The sequence below is a fragment of the Homo sapiens genome, chromosome 10 (genome assembly GCF_000001405.40).
Source record: "Homo sapiens chromosome 10, GRCh38.p14 Primary Assembly".
Lineage (NCBI taxonomy): Eukaryota > Metazoa > Chordata > Mammalia > Primates > Hominidae > Homo > Homo sapiens.
The window spans coordinates 19,403,369-19,422,902 of NC_000010.11; the positions used below are offsets into that span (position 1 = coordinate 19,403,369).

Genomic DNA, 19,534 nt, shown 5'->3' on the forward strand with positions numbered 1-19,534 from the left:
ATGACTCATTGAGGACTTTGTTATAGGTTACAAATGCTGATACATTTTATTTTCCATTCACAATGTGGCATTTAATATATCCACATATAATCATTGAGCATTGCTTTGCCCTCTTTTATGCTAACGTGTTGGTGACAAGAAAGCAGACTTAGTTTTTCAGACTTATGAGCTGAGGGATCATTATTCTGAGTGCTAGCAATTGAAGTGACTTAGAGACTTAAGGTTAAAAAGAAGGGTAAAATAATATTTTTATGTGAATTCATGGCTTTCTTTTCATCAGCATTCATGAGCCCTAAGGATTTTACAGGTCATATTTTTAATGAGTTATCTTGACTCTTTTTGACTTCACTGGGGGTCATTCAGCAAATAAAATCGTACCAAAGTTAGAGCTGCATATGGCTCCTGAATGATGAAAGAATGGTGAGAATATTCTTTAGTCTTTTTAGCGTTTGTTTCTAAGTTATTTTTCAGAAAATCCCCAAATTATAAGGCAGAACATTGAAATTAATTACTTTGGTGGCTTCATTAGAATCGGAGCTGAATTTTCTTGGTAGTCAAAAGAATATAAAACATAAGAAAACATGTATTGTGAAAAGCAGAAAATAATACTTCAAATGGCATTAAACACGTTAAGCTTTTTACTAAGCAATTTTGTTTCTTGTGAGGTTTTTAAAAAATGTCTAAGCAGAAGATAAACTAAAAATATAGTAAAGCTTAGAGAAAAAAATACTTTTTATTTTGTTTTTCCATTTGAACACAAAATACAATGGGAGCATATAAGTAAAACTTTTACAATTTACTATGTTTCCTTAGATGTAGGGAGATTGTGAACAGTTTTATTTTTATAGATAGATGGTTTGCAGTGATTTCAGAATGCACTTATGCTTTTTTTATTATTACTTTATCCATGTAGTAATAAACATCATTAGGAAAAAATCTCGTACAATAATTTTAAGCAGATATCTCCGTACTTAAAATTTTTTTATGCCTTGTAGAATGATTAAGGGCAGAGTGTTGACCTGGAACTACAGATAATTTATCTTTGACTAAGATGTAGTATATTCTATTTCATATTAGAAGTTTCTGATGTATGTTGCTCCCTTGAAAATCTTCCACTTATTTTCCTGTAAACTTCCAAGCCACAAATATATGTGTTTTTTTCTAAGTAGCTTCAGCACTGTTAAATATTTTAGAAAATTTTATTAATGTAAATATAGCCAGATCATTGAGTAGGAAAACAATCAATGGTGGCAAATAAGTGACATATCCATAATAGAGTCACTTTGTTTTCCTAGACCTCTGGGGAAGTGATTGTTTTATATCACTTCACTCATTTTGCACACACATACTGCACATTACTTAAAATTCTGTTTCTGAAATAATTTGTTTAAAAAATAGCACTCCAGAAAATTTCTGTTAAATTTAATAACTTCAATGTGAACACCTGGATCAGAATCATTATACATAACAGAGTACTGGATATATCCATTTGCATCTTCTCATATATGGTGAGCTCTGAAAATATACGAAATTCTATGCACAGAGAAGAGAAAGCAAATGTACTAGTTGCTTTTCCTTGTAACTTCTTATAAATGCATCCATGAAAATGCATGTCCTTTGTATATTCATGAAGAGAAGTAGCACTTTATTTAGTAGGTTTTTCATGACAACAAAAAAACCTGTGAAAGGCAGAATTTGTGAAAATAATCAAACTTAGAAATGAGGCATTGAAATGAAGTGGTGTTTTGCATATATACACGTTACCTCAACTTTCTAAATATTTCTTAATTTGGTAAGAATGCGTCAACATCTTATTTGTTATTTTGCATGAAGGAAGTTAGAACTACTGGTAGAATGTAGAAGGAGAAATATGAACAAAATTATTACCTTTTCTGGAAATTTATGTTCAACAAGAAGGGTCACCTCCTCTCCCTCTTTGAAGTCCCACCATTCTCTTGTATTTTTGAGATTATTTTTATATCTACCACAGAGTTGTTTACTGTGCACTGCTTCTCAGCATTGTGTACTTTTCCCTGCAACTTCCAACAATAGTTTTGGCCATCGATTATTCTGTTCTAGTTGCTGCCTGAGAGTCTGAGACCCCTGACTTGATCATCTGCTATAATCAACATACTGTTTTCAACAAAGATTCAATGGGAGGAAAACCACATCTCTCTTTGGTCCCATCCATCAGTTCAAAACAAAAACACCAACACAAGGCTTATTTACATGTTATAGATTTCACAGAAGTGTTGATCCTAATTAGAATCTTAGAACCCAGAATATGGCTGTACTCAGAGTACAAAAGGAAAATCAGATATCAAACTTTCACACATAGATTCTCTCCATACACATATCCTAGTTCCTAGACTCATTCCTTTGAATCTTTTAAAGGAGCCACATGTTCTATTCTTCCAATGCATACATAGACTCCATTTTCAGATAACACCACTCACTAAACATAGGGATTACTTTTGCGTTAGGATGCATTTTTTTTTTTCCTTTTTGCTGGAGCGATGAAGACCGTTTGACCTATAGAGTTTATTTCCTGAAGTATGAGGTGTTTAGCCACAGAATGTCACAGTGGGCTCCTAGATGTGACAAAAGATCACTGGTCATGTAGCTGGAGACAGACTTGGATTTGAATGTCAACTCTGCCGCTTACTACTCATTATCTTGGGCAAATTATTTAGAATCCATAAGCCACTTTCTTTACATATGTAAAATGATGATTATAACATGAGTTGCAAATTGTTTTCAGGGCCACCAAATGCTATACCAGTGGAAGAGAGAGTGCTTTGGAAACTATAAAGCATTTAACACACTTTAGGTAAAGTTTTCTAAAATTAATCCTTCATGAAATGTAAGCATAGGAAAGGGAGAAAAAGTAAAATTCAGAATATTTGTTTAGTTGTGTTCTTAAAATAGACTGCATTAGTATCTGTATCATCTAAAACTGTGCGATCTATTACTTTTCTGAACAGGAGTTTTCATTGTATTTCCATTTAAATGCCCTTTCACTTAATGCCAGAATTCGTTCTATGTGTTTATTCTCACACATTGTCTGTTTGGATGGGTGTTCATTAAACTTCATGCCTGTGTTCAGTGATAGCTGGGCCTCGATGAGATCCCGTCAGGTGTTAAGCTTAGAGCACAAGCTGTTATTGTTTGCCTCCGGTAACCTGGCTAAGGGTGTCTGTCATTTAGGAGATAATGTTAGAAAGGGTGAATGTTGTCAGCGGGTGAGTTATTCATGACGAATAAATATCCAAGGAAAACGAAAATGTTTGTTTTTAAAGCAAATAAAGGGCATTGAGATCTGTTGACGTATTCTTTAAAAATAAATAAATAAATAAATAAATAACATTCTGCCGTTCTCACACATGGTGAATGTTCAAATAATGACCCTATCTCACAGAAGAGCATTAAGATGACATAGTGCCATACACAACTCGCTTATTAGCTCTTTAGTGAGAAAAAATACAACACCCTCACTTGTTATTGGAGTGCCAACTTCTCCATAAAAACACAAAATAGGAGGATAATCTGATGATTAATATATCAGATTTTTTTTAGTTTTTCATATAGAACCCTCGTGTATACCTTCCACCACCAAACACATGTGCTGCTTCCTGTCTTAAATGAGGAGAGGACTGTCTTCCTGATGAATTCCAACTCTTCTACCTTTAGTCTTGACTCTACTCCCCACGCCCCAATTCTGGAATCTGGCTTCTATGAGCATGGATCAAATCCCAAGATTTAAGCCTCAGTACCTGTGCTTGTAACCACCATATACTACTGCCTCTATAAATAACCCCTGGCCAGGCATGGTGGCTCACAGCTGTAATCCCAGCATTTTGGGAAGCTGAGGCAGAAGGATTCCTTTAAGCCAGGAGTTCAAGACCACTTTGGGAAACATAGGCAGACCCTATCACTACAAAAAAATAACATAAAATAAAAATCAATAGCCAGATGTGGTGGTGTGCACCTGTAGTCCCAACAACTCAGGACGCTGAGGTGGGAGGCTCACTGGAGCGCAGGAGTTCAAGGCTGCAGTGAGCTGTGATTGTGCCACTGCACTCCAGTCTGGGCAACAGAGCAAGCCCTGTTTCTTAAAAAATAATAAAAATAAAAATAAAAAATAAAGAACTTCTAATTGCTAAAGCATAGACAAATTGACAAAAGACATACATAGGTATCACACCTAAGAGGAAATAGAAAAGGCAACTAATAAACCTATAAAAAGATGCCCTACCACTATAGTGATCAGGATAATGCAAATAAACTCTAAATACCCAAATGTTGAGCAAAAGTTAAAAAGCTAATACCAAGGATTCCTATGGATGTGGAACAAACAATTAAAAATTTAGTATACTTTTGGCAGTAGTATAAATTGGTAAAACAATAACAATTTGGCAGTAGTAAGTGATATTGAAGCTGCACATATTATCCTGTTACATAGCTATGTTCCTCCTTTGTATGTTCTTTAGAAGAAATGCTTATCTGTGTGTCCAAGAGGTATAAGCAAAAATGTTCAAAGCAGAGAGTTTTGAAACACCCTGAAAATGGGTGTTTCCATAACACTGTTACCAAACACCATGGATTCAGTCTAGGTTCCCTTGCTTACCTCACGGAAAGCCAATCACTGAAACAATGAGTATTGCCAGGCTTTATTATATTATGGGTAACATCAGCCAGAGAGATGATAGTCAAACCTCAGCTCCATTCCTCCTCCCCAAGTAAAGGATTTATATAGATGGGAAGGAAAACAGGAAGGGAAAGGAAGAGAAGTTGGTCAACAGGCAGCAGGTGCTTGAATGAAGGGTCTAGTGTCTCATGGTAACCACATGAAGGAAAACAGGAATTAGGGAAGGGTAAGGAATAGGAATTGGTCAGCAGGCGACAGGTGCATCTGTAGGTGAAACTGTAGGTTTCTCAATCTTCAGTTCTATGGGCATCTGGCTTGTTGGAAAATTGGGCCAGTTTCAACACAAAAGGAGAGACAAGTATCAAACTTCACACGTGGTTTCTCTTCATAAGCACATTCTAGTTCCCAGCCTTGATCCTTGACTTCAGATTTGACTCTCCTTTGAGTTTTTTAAAGGAGTCATATATTCTATCCTTGCAATGAATAGATAAACTCCATTAAATAATCGGTGATATATTCAAACAAAGAAAATCATACATTAGTGAAATGCATTAACAAAAAAATTAAACAATCCAATTAGAAAATGGGCAAAAGATATAAAGAGACATTTCACTGAAAAGAATATACAGTTGGCAAAACAAAAACATGAAAAGGTTTTCAACATCAGTAGACATTAGAGGAATACAAGGTAAATCCACAGTGAGATATCACTACACGCCGACCAGAATAGTGAAAAAAATTTAAATGATAATAACGTCAATACCAAGTGCTTGGGAGGATATAGAGATACTGAATCATTATACATTGCTCCTGAGAATATAAAATGGTATAGAAACTCTGTAACAAAGGGTTTGGCAGTTTCTCAAAAACAAATAAACCAAAAACTAAACATGCAATACCATATAATCCAGCAGTTGCACTGATAGTTGTTTATCCCAGAGAAATGAAGACTTATGTTCACATGAATACCTGTACACAGATGTTTATAACAGCATTCTGTTAACTGTACTAGCCATTATCTAGCAACAACATTCTTTGTAACAGCCAATATCTAGAAACAACCCAGATGGCCTTCAGTGAGTGAATGGTTAAATAAATTGTGGTACATCCATACCATAGAATACCACTCAGCAATGAAAAAGAGCAAACTATTGCATGCAACAACCTGGATGAATCACTAAAAAATCAGATTGACTGAAAGATGAGGATTCCAAAAAGTGACTAATTTTTTGATTCCATTCATATGACATTTTTGAAATGACCGAATTCCTTCAGAAATAGATAACAGGCTGGGTGAGTGCAGTGGCTTACACCTGTACTCTCAGTGCTTTGGGAAGCTGGAGCAGGAAGACCACTTGGGCTCAGGATATCAAGGCTGCAGTGAGCTATGATCATGCCAATGCACTCTAGCCTCGGCAACAGAGTGAGACCCCATCTTTAAAAAAAATAAATGAAAATAAATAGATAACATATTAGGGATTGCAAAAAGTTAAGGAGGGAAATGGGATAGGAGAAAAGCAGGTACAGCTATTAGAGAGTAACATGAAGAATATTATCAATCCTTGTGGTAATTGAAATGTTTTGTATCTTGACTGTATTTGTGTCAATATCCTAGTTATGATATTGTACTCTAGTTTTGAAAGACATTACCATTGGGGGAACTGGATAAAAGATATTTTGAGATTGCTCCATATTATTTCTTAAAACTTCATGTGAATTCATAGTTATCTCACAATAAGAACTTTAAATAAAAATAATTATGTTAAATTTACATTCTAGTAGTGATTTAGTTTCATTTAGCTTTTATATAGCCAAAATTTACTTCCAATTTGTACAATGTAAAAGCATCTCCATCTTCTTTTTTATTTTTAATTTAACTTAATTTTAGTTGAAAAATAATATGCATATTCATGGGGTGCATAGTGATATTTTGATACATATAATATGTGGTGATCATGACATATGTTTAGATCTGTAAAATCTGTAGTCCACAATATCATCACAAAATGGACAAGAAAATAATCTTAGTCATTGACATTTCAGGTTTTAGTTAATTAGTAGCTTGCTCTGTGTCTGTTCCAAGCCATGTCACGTAATTACTACATGGATAACGTCCATGACTGCTTATAGTTTTTTGTCAGTTTTACCCTCATTTAAGCAATTCTTAAACATTTTCCAAATGTATTATTTTTGTACTTTATGCTTTTCATATTGCCTATATTATCCAATGTCAAGTTGTAGATTTAAGCTAGATTTAGTATGATAAATAGTTTTTGATATCTCACGCCCAAGTTTAGTATAGATTTTTTATTCACCTCATTGCAAACCACTCTGAATGAACCTCAAGGCGGTCTTCATGAACCTCAAGTCTAGAAAACAGTCATTTTTCTCACTACTTAAAACGTATAGATGAAATAATTTGTACTCTGGAATGAAGCTGTAGTCAGGCATTTCAAACCAAAAAACTTGGATAGTACAAGCCTAGGTCTTGACCTCTGAAAATCTAAATTAAATCTCTCAGCTAAGTGTGAACATTGTGCACTTCAGGGAATAACCTTGATAATGGACGCTAGGAAAGTAGAGGTAGACAGAAGCTAGTGAACAACTTCCTTCCTCCCTCCCTCCCCTCCTCCCCTCCCCTCCATCCATTCTTCCTTCCTTCCTTTTTTTTTTTTTTATCTTTATCAAGTGTTTAGTGAGGACCTACTTTAGGAAGAGTCAAGAATAAATGTTGCAAGGTAGTAGCAAATACATGATTAACTAATATTCTAGAAATTCCATTTAGCTTATTGGATAGTGCAGAATATACAGATTTAGACATCTACTATGTCAAAAACTGAATTTGTGTACAAGAACATAAATGAATCTTTTTGACATAAATGTTGCCTAGTAATATAGTTCATCTTGATAAGCTATATGACCATGTGGATTTTTTCCATTTTATTCACTCTTAATTGGGCATTTTTGGTAAATGTGCTATAATTTCTTTTTCAGAAAAATATTTTCACCAAATGCAGGATTATTATAATATGAAATCTGCGACTTTTTGAATGAGAAGACTTTAAATATCAGGCCATTCTCTTAGGCAGCAGTAAGTGAAAGAGTGGTTTTAAAATATTATGTAGCAATTGTCCACAATGATGTGTGACCCAATCCTGAAAATATAAAATTCAAGCTTTCGAGAAGATATTGTTCAGACTCCATGAGGTTGCCTTTTTTAGGTCAGCTAGGTAAAGATATGAAGAACACAAACTAAAATAGTTGGGTTTGTGAATACATATGCTTAGTTCCAAAAACTACCACTAGCAGCAGCAGCAGCAGCTAGCATTTCCCTGGTGCTCTCTAATACCAGTATTATCCAAACACAGCCTGGCTCGTAATGGGCAATTAATAAATGTTTGCTTAATGGAACAATTAATGGTACCTAAGTCTTATTCATCTCTTCCTATGAACTAAGCACTCTTCTAACTACATGATCTTATTTAATGTGCATAATAAGTGCAAAAAAGCTACCATGATCATACTTTATGCAGATCAGATAACTAAGTTACAGAGAACTCATTAACTTTTTAATGTTAGTAAGTGGTTGAGCTGGAGTACAACTCCAGACAGTCCAGTTCCAGGATCCGAGCGCTTAACTATCACCCCAGACTACCTGTCAAGGTTTAGGACTCAAAGGTTTACTAATTCCACACACAGCCTTTACCCAACATTTAGCAGGCAAACAACCAAGGGACACTAGTATTTTCCTAGAATTCTTTAAGCATAGCAGTGATTTGGAGCTTGGTAAGAGAAAATTTTAATTATAGAGCTATATTAAGTTCATGGATGGAAAAAATGTTGCAACTGCCAAAACTTTCTGATTAAATGTGTAAGCTGTTAAAAAATTAAAGTATAAGCCTTGTGGGACAACTGACTGTTCACTCATGGTTTTTCATATCTTTACATTGATCATTACTTAAGTAAATTGTATAACATGTAATGGTATTAAGAAGTTTATGGCTGGGTGCAGTGACTCACACCTGCAATCCCAGCACTTTGGGAGGCCAAGGTGGGTGGATCACCTGAATTCAGGAGTTCAAGACCAGCCTGGCCAACATGGTGAAACCCTGTCTCTACTAAAAATACAAAAATTAGCCAGGCATGGGCCTGTAATCCCAGCTACTCGGGAGGCTGAGGTGGGAGAATCACTTGAACTCGGGAGGTGGAGGTTGCAGTGAGCCGAAATCACGCCATTGCACTCCAGTCTGGGTGAAAGAGCGAAACTCGGTCTCAAATACATAAATACAAGTTTATAATATTATGTACTCTCTTAAATGACAGCAATGAGCTTTTAACCTCCATCAATTAAACTACTTAATCAATTGAAGGGGTACTGGAAAAACCCCATCAACCAGAAAGGAAAAGAATAAAGAAGTTTGTCACCTGTCAGGAATCTTGTATGGGGGCTGAAACGTCTCTGATATAACTAGAAAACCCAAATTTGTACAAGTGATTCAGTGGGGAATCCAAATGTATACTGTTGCATAATGAAGACATGATGAGCTAAGAAATTAGTATTAAAACAAATGTAGGACCCTGGAATCTTTCAGGTGGAACCTGTAGCCCTATAGTGAAGAATTGATAACTTAAACACACAGCCTCCTGCACATGATGAACTCATGGTGAAAAATGACAAACCAATGTAAGAGATAAGCCACCAGGAGGCAGAGTCTGCCAACCATAAAACAGAAGAATCATCATTTCACTACTGCTCCTGAGCTTGTGTCTTGCCATCTTTTTCCATGAAAATCCTGCTCATCTGTCAAGGGGATTAATTCTATGATTTACCTATCACTGTTTTCTCTCATAGTAATGTTAAGTGTAGACATTTCATGTGTTTAATAAATTAAAAGTTATTACTATGTAGATCAAACATTTTATTTTACAAAGAAAGAAAGAAAATTATTCCTATATGATGTATTTTATAACATAACTTTATTCTTAAAAATTGAATCTCTTTATGTAAAGAGATGGAAATCTTAGAAAAAAAATAATAGTTAACATCAATTGTGGAATACCTCCTATGTGTAAGGTTACCATCACATACATGATGTAACCCAGTTCTCTTAAAAATATTTTGAAACAGTTATCCTCGCATTTTACAAATGAAAAACTGAGACTCAAAGATTTTCAGTCTCTGACTTCATAGCCCTTGATAACGAAAAACTACTAAATAGTTTTGAGATTGAGGCACTATTAATGATTTGACCATGATTATATTGTGTAAAGTGTCTTTAACTTTTTATCATCTTGCAACATTATTTCAAATTTAGGTCTGAGATATTGGTAGATTTATGTTCTCAGAAAAAGCGCCCTAACCCTTCAACAGTAATACTCAGTTTAGTATACTTTTCCTGTGCTTCTTGCACCAATTTTCTGCTTTATACTAGATTGAATTTGAGAGATTTCCTTTATTTACAATTTTTGATTTATGCTTTGAAAACTATGTTTCCAATTTTAATTATTTTAATAGAAATAATTTAGATTACTTCTCTTTTAATCATGAAAAAAAAAGGATTTTAGGACAATTTAATTTATTACCTCCCAATCTTTTCCACCCATTTACCAGATTATTATTCTCTAGTTTCTCCTTGTTTTTCTGCACTGCCACATAGCCAGTGAGGTTTTTTTTAAATGATTTTAGGCTGTGTGTGGTGGCTTACACCTGTAATCCCAGTGCTTTGGGAGGCCGAGGCGAGTGGATCACAAGGTCAGGAGTTTGAGACCAGCCTGGCCAATATGGTGAAACACCATCTCTGGCGGGTACCTGTAGTCCCAGCCACTTGGGGGGCTGAGGCTGGAGAATCGCTTGAACCGAGGAAGCAGAGGTTGCAGTGAGCCGAGATCGCACTACTGCACTCCAGCCTGGGTGACAGAGTGAGACTCTGTCTCAAAAAAACAAAAACCAAAAAAAAAAAAACAATGATTTTTACCAATTGCATTCCTCATAATTGATTCTCCTTCCTTCTAAGATCAGTTTCCAAAAAACAAAAAAAAAAAGTTCAATTTCCTCTTAAATGTAGTAGATCATTTAGTAGTTTTATCAGTAAGGTTCTCTTAGTTATAGACTCTACAGAACTTTATATAATTATGTACTCTGTTTAATAATTAAAATTATGGATAAATAATTCCTACATATTTTCCAGAACGTTGTCGTAGTGGTAGCACATGGAACACACTAGAGGGGGGACAAGAAGTAAAATCCATTCAGGTGCAACTTAAAATTATTACAGAGCAATAACTGATAAGTCATTTTGTCACGAATAAGATACAACCTATGTGATAAATTTTAAAAAATATATTGTTAAGTAAGTGGTTTGTGACTCAGAATTGGGAAACCAAGGAAAGAGAGGCATAAAGATCCTAAGTTTTTTATTTGAGTTATTGGGGTAAAACTTAGGAAACTCAGGAAGATGATCAACCTAGTTTTGGAGAAGAAAATGATGAATTGGTTTTAGATTGCCATGTAATTTTAGTGCTTGTATGACATCTAGCATTTAATATGAATTGTACAGCTGTGTCCAGAAAGATGTTAAAGTTAGAGGTGAAAATTTGGTAGTTATTCTCAGAAATGTATTAGTGAAAGTTGGGAAAGGATGTAATAGTGACTTCACGGAGTGTAGGGGAAGGGAAAGGAGGGCTTTGTGAAAGCTGTTGATAATCAGCACTGTAGTCGGCATCGTCTGAGGCACTGATTCCCCCAAGAACTCTACAGGCTAGAAATTTCCTGGACACCAGGCTAGCAATTTCATGGAGTTTCTTGCAAAATTTATAAATGGCATAACTTTCTATATAAATATAAAAGAGAGTCATATTGTGCAACCCTTTACTACAGGCCAAAGACTACAGGTTTCATACTGATTACAGACAGGACCAAATGATCTTATTTTCCATAAAATCATCTGCATACCTTCTACTTGAACTCATAACACTTTTTTTCTGTAGAAATAATATTGTCAACCACGGTTTGTTTCACCTATTAGGCTATGAAGCCCTATTTAAACCATAATTTAGCTCTACTTTTGAAATTAAAACAATAGGTATAGAAAACATCTTTTTTGTTGTTGTTTAAACACCAAAACTATAATTCAATACATAGGACAGACAAAATAATCTTTAGTAGATACAATAATTTTTAAATGTGTTAAACTAGAGAAAACTAGAGCATACTAATAAAACACATCCATACAAAGGATTTATTTATTTGGGCGTTGACCATACCTTATCGAGATTAGTATAAGACTTGTATTCATTTCAATAAAGGTGGTTGCATAAACTTTTCCTAAAAATAGTTAATGATACTGTGATTCCCCCTTGTGAATTATTAGACAAAATCAATACTTTAAAGACATAATCCCTCTAATTTTTTATTTGTTGTTAAGATGATTTATCTTCATAAATAATGTGTTATTGTACTAGCTTAAGGCTAATTAAGTTAATTCACATATTTAAACTTGGTAAATGACAACCAATGTACTATTTCTGCATGTAGATCAAGCAGGAAAGCAAGACTTAAAAAAATAAGATATATTCAAATTATCAGATTATTTTAAAGTTGACTAATTTTTTAAAAATTCATAAATGTGCTCTTTTAAGAAATGGGTCTAGAGAATAGATGATTTCTATAGACTTCTAAAAGATCATTATTTTTTAAAAGACCCTAGGACAGCTTTCATATCAAAGAGAGACAATACCAAAATTGTATTAAGTGAAAAACCCTGCTTTGTAATACTGCCAATAGAAAGGGGTGTTCTCATGGTCTTTATAAAATCTCTAGACAGTAAATCTTTGTAAACAGCAGCCATCAGTTTTCTGTGTTGTTCACACGTGAATTCCAAATATTAAGAATACGGCTTGATAAATTTGGTAAAACTCAACCTTTTACTTAATGAAGTGGGCTTTTAAAGAAAAAAGTAGAAACTGAGTGAGGAAAGTTTTCGGATTTGTCTGTGGCTATAAACAAACTGCTTATATGTTAGTAAGAAAGTGCAGGTTGCTTGTTAACTAATTTGCCTAACTTCCAGGATAAACTGAAGTTCCTATTATCATGGATGTAGTTTGTGTTAGGTTTTTAGGATCTGGAGTTCTACTTAATTGTGTTTGAAGTAGGTTAGATTTAAAAGACAAAGCAAGGTAGTGGTTGTGCCAATTAAACTAAATGAGAGTTACAAGGAAGAGATCTGTTCCACAAATTATCTGAAAGTAACCCAGTTGAGAGAATCAGAGAAGCCACAAATCAGCATTTCCACAATATGTGATTTGTTGTTATCAGCCAGCACTATTCAATGTGGGAAGGGACTACCGAAGAGCACCACAGGCCAGAATAAATGAATATTGAGAGGCAGAGATTAAGGTCCATCTTGGAGGCTGATTGCCCCAGGGACATCCTGATAACAACTAGCAGCTTAATCTTCATTGATGTGAGTTCTAACCCTTCTCATCTGCTCAAATATATTCAGCAGCTCCTCATTGCCAGGTGGAAAAAAAAAAAGTCCAAACCTGTAATTCTTGTGTATCACTCTCAACAGTTTGGCAACAAAAGTCAACTTTTACAGCTATATCTCATACAGTACCTCTCTATTTACTATCCAGCTATGTTCTGGATTTTATTCCTGCTCTTCTGCTGAAGGACCTTGTTTACTTGATGCTCTTCTATTTCAAGTCTCACCCTCTCACTGCATCAGCAAATGAGCCTACAAACATCTTAAAAAGGTTTTCATCTATCATATTCCTTGCTTGAGTTATCATTTCTTTACTCTGCTTCCCTGCACAGGAAAACTTTTCAAAAACTTGCCATTCTTGCTCTTTCTTCTTTAATTTGTATTCACTGACCAATCCCTAAAACTCCGTAGAATCTGCTCTTGGGAAGGTCATCAGTTTCATCTCACCAACAGGTGATGAACACTTCGCTACCTGTCACCAAATTGCTTGACTGTTCAGTCACATTCAACAACTATGGCCAGCCCTTCTTGGAAGCCCTTTCTCTTTTTAGCTTATGGGATACCATACCTCCTTGGTTTTCCTCCCACTTTCCCAGCTTTTTATTCTTATCTCTTTTTCCATCTGTGTCTCTTCCAGTTTCTAAATACTGGATTACCTGAGGACTGGGTCTTTGCCTCCTTAATTTTTCTCTTCACATGGTCTCTCTGGGTCATTGTATCCTTTCATATAGCTATAAATGTCCACTGTTTTTTTCTTTAACTCCTATCAAACTGCCTAATCAATTGGATTTACAATAAATTTAGCATACCAAATTGAACTTTGATTTTGGTGGACATTTTTAAGTTTCCCTATTTTATAATACTTTCATGTGTATGTGACTTATCTTCCCCAAATTAGTTGTAAATACTTAAGAGTTTTTGAAATAGCATTTTGTATTTTTCAACTTGTTATGACATATACCAGGAGAGGGGACTATTTGGTACTTAATACTCATTGAATTCCATTAACATATCAATATGGCAAGACAAACCCTGTGAAATAAATTTGTTGCACAGCTTTAGGCAGTGAAACAAATTTACTCTTAAGTAAAGTTTTAATTAGCTTTACTAATTTACATAAGCAGAGATCTCTAAAGCTATATCTTAAGTCAGCGTATGTAATAGTTTTAAATGAATATGATATTGAGGGTCACATCAGCATTCCAGAATGCTTTCCTTAGACTGAGATCATTCATTTTTAGGTACACCTTGAGCAGCAGTTAATTGAGCGTAGTTTTAACTCACTAATTCAATACAATGTAAAGATCTCAATTCTCAGTGAGCTGAATGCATGTAACATGGTATGGATTACACTATGTGTCACATCATATAAATGTATGGTATAGTGAAACCATCATTTCCTTATTGTTCAACAAAGCTTTACTGAGTTAATGAGTGCCTACGGTGCACTGGGGTTACAACAGCAAACCACACATACACACGCACACACACACACATACACACACCTGCCCTCTGGATTAATTTCTCTAAAGGAAAACAAATTTATCTAAGAAAAGTCTTGACAAATTTTTTTAATATCGATGATCCCATATGAATATTTTCATCATAAAGTAAAGCCTTAGGATGAATGTAGATCAATTGACCTGTCTCTATCTATCTATCTATAGATATAGATATGTTGATAAATTATCATTATAGATTATCTGTGCCTAGGAAAGAGATATATTCAGTAAACTAGCTAGATAATAGATCAAATATGCACCATTCCCCCCCACGCCCCCAACAAATACACATTGCTTTCAAACATAAGCACCATGATTAAGATTTTAAACTAAAAATAATTTTAAAAAAAGATTATGTTTTTCAAGCTAATCTCTTTTTAGGTATGTTTTATATTTTTCTTGGGATTTCAGCATACGTTTTTTGGAGATTGAGATTAAGGTTTTATTCATCTTTAAATGAACTCCAACAGCCACTGCTATGCCTGACATGTAGTAACATTTTAAGGAATGTTTGTTTTTAGTGCCTTCCATGATGTCTAAATTGTTTACAATAACAGAGAATAATTTCAGGGTGGATGCTACACTGTTATGATCATATGATTTTCCTTAGATACATTTCTGATTACTAAAATAATTGCAAAATTAAGACATCATATTTTAATCATGAAATGTGATATGAAAGCTTATTTTCAAAGCCACATAGAAGAGATATCTCTTTATCTGCCAATGGAAAAAATATATATTTCAAATCTTAAGGTCAATAAATTGTGATTGTCTCTCAGTTAAACCCTTAAGCCTTTCATAATTTTTTCTATCCTTATAACCAACATCTTAGCTCAGGTTATCACATAGCAGTTTTGGGATTGGCCTCCTTTCATTCTAACTTCACATCTCTCTTAGTGCCTGGGACAGTGCCCTTTATCCACATTGCCTCCTTGAAAGCTATTCTGTCTATCCTGCCACAAAAATAGTAGTATGGTGGAGCACATACGTGATCATTTCACTATTCAAAATCATTTGGTGGTTTCCCATAACCACAGAGGATGAACTCAACCATTTCAGTATGCACACCCTTCTCCAGCTAACCGCCTTCCTTTCCACATCTCCATCCTTTGCCACCTGACTCCCACGTGATCTATATACCCTTGTCTTTTAATACCTTCATTTCCCTTAACTCATGATCCTTTACACTTTCCTGGTTTAAAACATGGTCCTCTTAAAATGATTTTCCTTATTCTCATTCTCCTTCTCCTCCTTCTTCTTCATCTTCTTTCTTTCTTTCTTTGTTTTGTTTGTTTTGTTTGTTTGTTTGAGACTGAGTCTCATTCTGTCACCCAGGCTGGAGTGCAGTGGCACGATCTCAGCTCACTGTAACCTCCACCTCCCGGGTTCAAGTGATTCTCCTGTATCAGCCCCCTGAGTAGCCATGACTACAGGTGCATGCCACCATGCCCAGCAAATTTAATTTTTTTGTTGTTGTTATTAGAGATGGGGTTGCACTGTCTCTACTAAAAAGAGTAGTTGGCCAGGCTGGTCTCAAACTCCTGGCCTCAGGTAGTCTGCTGGCCTCTGCCTCCCAAAGTGCTGGGATTACAGATGTGAGCCACCATGCCCGGCTGATTTTCCTTCTTTCAAATGGAAAAATCCTTTTACTCGTCAAATCCCATTCAGTATTACCGCTTCTCTGAAACATTCCAGCCCAAAACAGTGATCACTGCAATATATTCATACTTTAATTGTAGTAGTTGTAGTATTGTATTTTACAGCTATCTTTTCCAATAGACTCTGAACTCCTGAATAGTCGTCAACTTTTCTTATTCGTAAAGCTTAGAACCAGGCATGATAAATGTTTATTGAATGGATCAATAAACTAAATACTATCCTACTATTAGGAAAGGAAAAAAATAAAAAGAAGACATAAAGTGTCACTCACTGTCCTCTATTAAATAGAAAGATCAAAGTGTTATATGTAAAGTTTTGGTGCCGCAAAATAAATGGCACTGGAATATAAAATTTTCTTTTTAATTCTCAGCAAGGCAAGATACTTCTATAGAAGGTTGCACCCTTACAGAGGGAGCAGTGGAGCGCACACTTGGACAAGGGAGGGGAAGGGGTTCTTATGCCTGACACTCGTGGCCCCTGCTGCTCTGTCGTTCCCCTGTCGGCTAGGGTTAGACTGAGCAGGCTAAACTAATTATGATTGGCTCATTTAAAGAGAATGACGGGGTGAGTGGTTTGGCAGGAAAAATGTTTATGACAGAGCAGGTAATCGGAATGAGTCAGGGTGGAGTAGGTAATCGGAATGAGTCAGGGTGGAGCCGGTAATCGAAAAACGTTGCTGTATGAAGAAGTTAAGTTTAAAAGTAGAAGGCAAAGAATTGAACATACTGACATATTGATTCTTTGAAAAGAAATTTAGAACTTATATCTAACAAAAGTTATCTTCATAAGGAAAAACAATCATGTATTTGTTTCCATGGAATCACTATTCCCTACATCTAATATGAAAAACAGAGGAATAAGTTTTATCTTAAAGTCATGTCTATATTTAACTAATGCTCATCAGTGATTCATGCTCTGGGTAACAAGCCATTTAATCAAGTTGCAACTAGATAAGGAACATGTTATTTTTAAATCCTTATTATTGTGTCTTTTAGAGTCTTTTGTGCACATACCCTCTGCCTGGATCAGAGCTTTGTCTCCCATGCTGCAAAGCAATATTGTAAAATTTAAAAAATGCATTTGACTTACAGAAACTTCCAGGGATAGATACACAATAAATGCAGTGCACAGGGGTAGCAACGTCATCAGAGGCTCACAGCCTCCCTCAAATGGGCAACTCCAAAGTGGGGAAGGCTGTGAAACCATCCTCACCACTGGAATCAGAAGGGTGCATTTCATTTTTTATGGAAACAGGGCTACTTGTCTCTTTTGAGTTGCCATTCATTTTGACTTTGTTCACATAGACTTCCCTGAGTACCCTCTCTTACACTTGCAAAATGACTCTACCCTTGGTTGATCATGGGATTTGAATGATAAAGATGAATATTCCCAAGGATATGTGGGGCACAGAGTGTGGGGTAATGGGAGAGATCTTGCTCTGTAATCAGCCACCTTAAAGGGTTAGTGCCCCCTTCAAATCAGCCAAAACAACAATACCTGATGTCTTTTCCTGTCTCTGAAGATGCTTTTGATGCATCTGTTTGTGTGTGTATGTGTATGTGTGCATGTTTGTGCACACTTTCATCCTAGAATTTGTTAAATGCTATGTTTTAGAAACTCTGCCAGTGACACCAGGATTTGAACCCTGGCTTTCCAATGCGCTCTGATTCTAAGCACTGACATTCCAATGCTAGCTTTGGAGATGAATGGAGAAAGTCACTAACTTAAGTAGGGAATAACAAGTAACTGTGGGAAAAGATGGGCAATCTTAAAAGGGATTATTTATAATTTCTGGTTAGAGGCTGCAGTGAAGTAAGTATGAGGCATTACAGATACCAAGTCCTGTAATTACTGTGCCCCTAGATAATTATGCCCCAGTTAGAGAATGTTTAAAAGCTTTACACACTAAAGAGTATGAGAAACACATTTCATTATTGCAAATTTTGCTAAATGCATCAATAATTAATGGCTGCACTAGTCAACGTATCCCATATCTTCTAGTCATGTTAATAAGGTTAAAAACATCATTTGTGTTTTTCCCACTATCATAGTATTGGATTGTCAGCAGCTCATAAAGGTGATTTTTACAATTAATCGTCTTTCTCTCCACTTTTCAGAGGCAGATTGCTATTGCCTTTTTTCCCCTGGCCAGTAAAGGGTTAAACCCTCTACTTGAAAGACATGTTGAGAGTTTGGCTTAGATGCAGAGATTTTGAAGATCAGAGCCAAAGTGAGTGTGTTTGTGCCAAGAAGGATGGAAGGAGCATATGACTGGACCCATCTGTAGCAAATTGCCTTTGATGATGCAACAAAAAATAATTAAAACACAACAAAGAATAATGAATGATCCCAGTAATGAGCAGAATCCTCTGGAAGACTGATAAAGATGCTAGTGCAGAAAAACAGCATTTTTTCCAGGAAGACATTTTCAAAAGGAAACCACATTGATTTAACCTTTAGAAAGTCTTACTGCTTTTATTAGTTTCCATTTAAATCATGCTCTTTTCTAACCTCATGTTGGCATTACTAGTAGTTAGTAAAATTTTCTGTGAAGCCCTGAGATGGAATGCCACTTTGCAGTACCTTTGCAATTTTATGATCAATAAAATACCTTTGTGTCAGAACACAGTAATCAATGTATGAGAAATACATTTCAAACAAAACAATAACAAAGCTATTGGTGAGAAAATATCTTTTAGATGTTAAAAATGTCACATATAGAGAGTAAACACAGAAAAACATAGAGTAACCAGAAGACTTACAACATTTGCATCAGTCATGGTATAAAACCTGAAGGCTAGTTAGACAAAATGTAAGAGAGGATATAAGGATAGTAAAGATAATTATTACTCTGTATTGTTTGTGCATAGAGTAGTAATCGCTTTCTGGCCCCAGAGATACAGATTTAGAGTGAAATTGAACAAATGAGAATTGCATTTTTATACTTCATGATTAGATGTAGAATACCCTCGACCTATGGTTTGCTGGAACTATGTAAAGTAATTACTATATTATATCATTTTCTAAGCCAGATTTCACCTTCTGTCTAGAATTTTTTCCTGAAGTTTATTTTGTCTGAGTTTTCATTTCCCCCTCAATGGGGAAAGTTTTTGAAGCCTCACTAATTAGGCTGGAAATTTCAATGACAAAAAGTGCTAAATAATGATAGCATTTTCATTTTTGGCTCTTCTGTTTCAAGTATGCCTCCAAGAGAAGCAGTTTGGGCCTGCACTCTGTTT

General features: G+C 35.3%; 1 protein-coding gene across 10 annotated transcripts in view, besides 1 other annotated feature; it reads left to right on the forward strand.

Moving 5' to 3' along the window:
• Positions 1-19,534, forward strand: part of MALRD1 (MAM and LDL receptor class A domain containing 1) — a 687,552-nt gene that overhangs the window by 356,442 nt on the left and 311,576 nt on the right. The gene's annotated exons all lie outside the window — the stretch shown is intronic.
• Positions 12,520-13,269: an enhancer, noted in NCBI's record as "OCT4-NANOG hESC enhancer chr10:19704817-19705566 (GRCh37/hg19 assembly coordinates)". NCBI's record gives its function as "activates a minimal SCP1, AML or CMV promoter by ChIP-STARR-seq in primed H9 embryonic stem cells {active_cell/tissue: H9 hESC(primed)}" and the evidence as "EXISTENCE:reporter gene assay evidence [ECO:0000049][PMID:30033119]".